This window comes from Homo sapiens, chromosome 2, assembly GCF_000001405.40.
Source record: "Homo sapiens chromosome 2, GRCh38.p14 Primary Assembly".
In the NCBI taxonomy this organism is placed as follows: Eukaryota; Metazoa; Chordata; class Mammalia; order Primates; family Hominidae; genus Homo; species Homo sapiens.
The window spans coordinates 128,700,747-128,705,073 of record NC_000002.12 but is presented as its reverse complement, the minus strand read 5'-3'; positions in this window follow the sequence as shown (position 1 = coordinate 128,705,073).

Sequence of the window (4,327 nt, the reverse complement as noted above, 5' to 3'; positions counted from 1 at the left end):
TAACCTAAGCCAAATGATTGGTCTTTCTGTTTTGGACAGCCACAACCCTAACACTGATGGGTGTGGCCAGCCCTAGTCTAAGATTTGGAGTAATTAGCTCCCGGCCAGGCGCGGTGGCTCACGCCTGTAATCCCAGCACTTTGGGAGGCCGAGGCGGGCGGATCACGAGGTCAGGAGATCGAGACCATCCCGGCTAAAACGGTGAAACCCCGTCTCTACTAAAAATACAAAAAATTAGCCGGGCGTAGTGGCGGGCGCCTGTAGTCCCAGCTACTTGGGAGGCTGAGGCAGGAGAATGGCGTGAACCCGGGAGGCGGAGCTTGCAGTGAGCCGAGATCCCGCCACTGCACTCCAGCCTGGGCGACAGAGCGAGACTCCGTCTCAAAAAAAAAAAATTAGCTCCCAAGACAGTTCTTTCAAGTTTTATGTAGAGTATCTCCCAGAAGCTTAGGGCAAAGGCTAGACATTTTATCAGACAATGCCAAATTCTTTACCACACTAAATACACACACATACACACACATACATAATAATTACAAACATATGTATACCTACCAACAAAACCCCAAAATACACAAAGCAAAAACTCACAGAATTACATACAATATTGACAAGTTACAATAGCAGTTGGAGAATCCAGTACCAAACTTTTGATAATAAATAGAACAACTAGGCAGATTAAGAAACAGAATAAATGAACAACACTATGAACCAATTAACAGATATCTATATAATACTCCACCCAACAATAAATAAACAAACATTACTTTCAGAATGAAACATTCTTCAGGACAGACCAAGTGCTAGGTTAGAATACAAGCCTCAATCAATTTATAAGAATTGAAATCATATAAATTATTCTCACCCACTACAATGAAATGAAATTTCAAATCAAAAACAGAAAGAAATTTGGGAAATTTACAAATATGTAGAAATTAAACAGCATACTCCTAAATTACCAGTGTGTCAAAAAAGCAATCATAAAGGAAGTTAGAAAATGCTTTGATATAAAGGAAAATGAAGACATAATTTACCAAAAATGTTCAAGATGAAGCTAACGCAGTGCTCAGATGGAAAGTTGCAAGTGTAAATGTCCCAATTAAAAACAAAGATCTTCGAATCAACAACCAAACCTTACCCTTTAAGATATCTGAAAATGAAAGGCAGTCTAAACCTAAACCTAGAAGGAGGAAAGAAACCTAAAGATTATAATAGAAAATATTGAAATAGAGAATAAAAAACAACAGGGAAAATCAGCAAAATCAAAAGTTTATTCTTTGAAAAAATCAACAAAATTGATGAATATTTAGCTAGACTGATCAAAAGAAAAAAGAGAAGGTTCAAATTGCAAAAGTCAATTAAAGTGGCAGCATTACTATTGACCTTACAGAAATAAAAAGGACTGTAAGGGAATATTGTGAACAACGGTATGCCAACAAATCATATAACTTAGATGAAATGAACAAGTCCCTAGAATACACAAACTACTGAAGCTAAAAAGAAAAAATAGAAGTTCTGAATAGATATACAATAAAGATATCAAATTAGTTACTGAAAAAATTTCCACAAAGGAAAACCTGAGCCTACAAGGCTTTATTGGGGAATTCTACCAAACATTTAAAGAAAGATTAATACCAACTATTTACAAAGTATTTCCCAAAAAATAAAAAGAAAGGAATGTTTTCCAACTCACTGTATGAGATAGTATTGCCATAGTACCCCAACTATATAAAGTCATCACAAGGAAAGAAAATAACAGACCAATTTCTTTTTTGAATTTAGATACAAGAATCCTTAACCAAAACTGGGAACCTAAATCCAGACATATTTTAAAAATATACACCACTACTAAGTGGAATTTATCCTAGGAAGGTAAGGTTGTTTTAACATGTGAAAATTAGTTAATGTAATACACAGTATCAATAGACTAAAGGACAAAAAACTCATGATCATCTGATCATCTGCATAGATGAAGAAAAAAAGAATTTGGCAAAAATCCCATATCCTTTCATGATAAAACCACTTACCACCTAGGAATAGAAGAAAACTTCCTCAATCTGATAATGGGTATTAGTTTTAAAACTCCAAAGCTAACATCACGCTTAATGGTAAAAGACTAAATATTTTTCCTGCAAGACAGAAACAAGACAAAGATGTCTGCTGTCACCACTTCTATTCAAGATTGTACTGAAGTCCTAGCAAGGCAATTAGCCAAAAAAAAAGAAACAAGAAAAAAAGAAAAGTCATCCATATTATAAAGGCAGAAGTGAAACTATTTATGGTTTTGGATGACATATCCTTGAATACAGACAATCCTAAGGAACCCTCTCTCCAGATCTACAGAACCATAAAACCATAAAACTATTTTGGCAAATGTTGCAGGGTACAAGATCAGTATACAAAAATCATTTGTAATCCTATGTACTAGCAATGAACAATTCAAAAATGAAATTAAGATTGCATTCCCTTTATAATAGCATCAAAGTGACAAAAATACTAAGGAATAAATTTAATGAGTGAACACAAAACTATGAAACATTGTTGAAAGAGATTAAAGAAGACCTAAATAAATTGAAAGATTTCCCACATTCATGAATCAGAAGACCTAATACTGTTAAGATGTCAATACTTCCCAAATTGATCTAAATTCAACGCAACAAGTTAGGTTTTTTGCAGAATTGACAATCTGATCCCAAAATTCATAAAGAAATTCCAGAAAGCCAGAATTTTCAGAACAATCTTTGGAGAAAAAAGAAAGTTGTAGACTCCCATTTTATTATTTCAAAACTTACTATAAAGCTAATGAAGACAGTATGATATTGGCATAAGGATAGAAATACAGATAAATGGAATAGAATTCAAAGTCCAGAAATAAGCCTTTACATTTACAATCAAGTAATTTTTTACAATGTTGCCAAGAAAACTTAATAAGAAAAAGAATAAACTTTTCAAATAATGGTGCTGGGTCAGCTGGATATCGACATGCAAAAGAATGAATTTAGTGTTATTTTTCACAGCATACAGTAAAACTAAGTCAACTGGATCACAGACTTAAAACTAAGAGCTAAAATTATAAAAACATCTGGGAAAAATATAGTAGTAAACCTTCACAAGCTTTGGTTAGGAAAAGCCTTCTTAGATATGACACCAGAAGCACAAGTAAAGAAAGAAAAAATAGATAAATTGAACTTCATCAAAATTTAAAACTTTGATGCTTCAAAGGACACCATGAATGAAGTGAAAGGACAACTACATAATAGGAAAACATTTTTGCAAATCATGTATCTGATGAGGAGCTTGTATCTAGAATAGATAAAGGACCCTTATTACTCAATAGTATAACACAAATAACCCAATCAAAAATCTAGGAAAAAGATCTGAATAGACATTTCTTCAAAGAAGATATGCAAATGGTGAGTAAGCACATAAAAACATGCTCAGCATTATTAGCCATCAGGGAAATAAAATCAAAATTACACTTCACTCCCACTAGAAAGGCTTTAATTTAAAAAAAAAAAAACAGAGTAACAATTATCAACAGGGATATCAGGAAACTGGAATTTTCACGCATGCTGATGAGAATGTAAAATGGTGAAGCCACTTTGAAAAACAGCTTGGAAGCTTCCAAAAGCGTTAAATATAGAATTACAATATTACCCAGAAATTCCACTCTTGCATATATTTCATTTCCTTTGGATATATGCTGAGAAGTGGGATAGCTGGATTTTATGGTAGTTCAATTTTTAATTTTTTCAGGAACCTGTATAATGTTTTCTATAATGGCAATACCAAATTTACACTTGCACCAACAACGTACAAAGATTCTCTTTCCTCCACACTCACATCAACAGTTGCTACCTCTTATTTTTTGATAATAGCCATCCTAACAGATGTGGGGAAATATCTAATTATGGTTTTGATTTGCATTTCCCTGATGATAGTAATATTGAACACTTTTACATATACCTTTTGGCCATTTGTACGTCTTTGAAAAATGTCTCTTCAAGTCCTTTGCCTGTTTGGAGAGGTTTTTTGTTTGCTACTGATTTGTATGAGTTCCTTAAATATTTTGGATATTAACCCCTCATCAGATATATGATTTACAAATATTTTCCCCCATTCCGTAGGTTGCCTTTACATTTTTTTAATGTTTCCTTTGCTGTGCAGAAGCTGTTTAGTTGATGTAGCACCACTTATTTATTTTTGTTTTTGTTGCCTGTGCTTTGGAGTCATTTTTAAAAATCATAGCCAAGATCAACGTCAAACAGCCCTTTCCTTATGTTTTCTTCTAGCAATTTTATTGTTTCAGGTTTTACTTTTGAGTCTT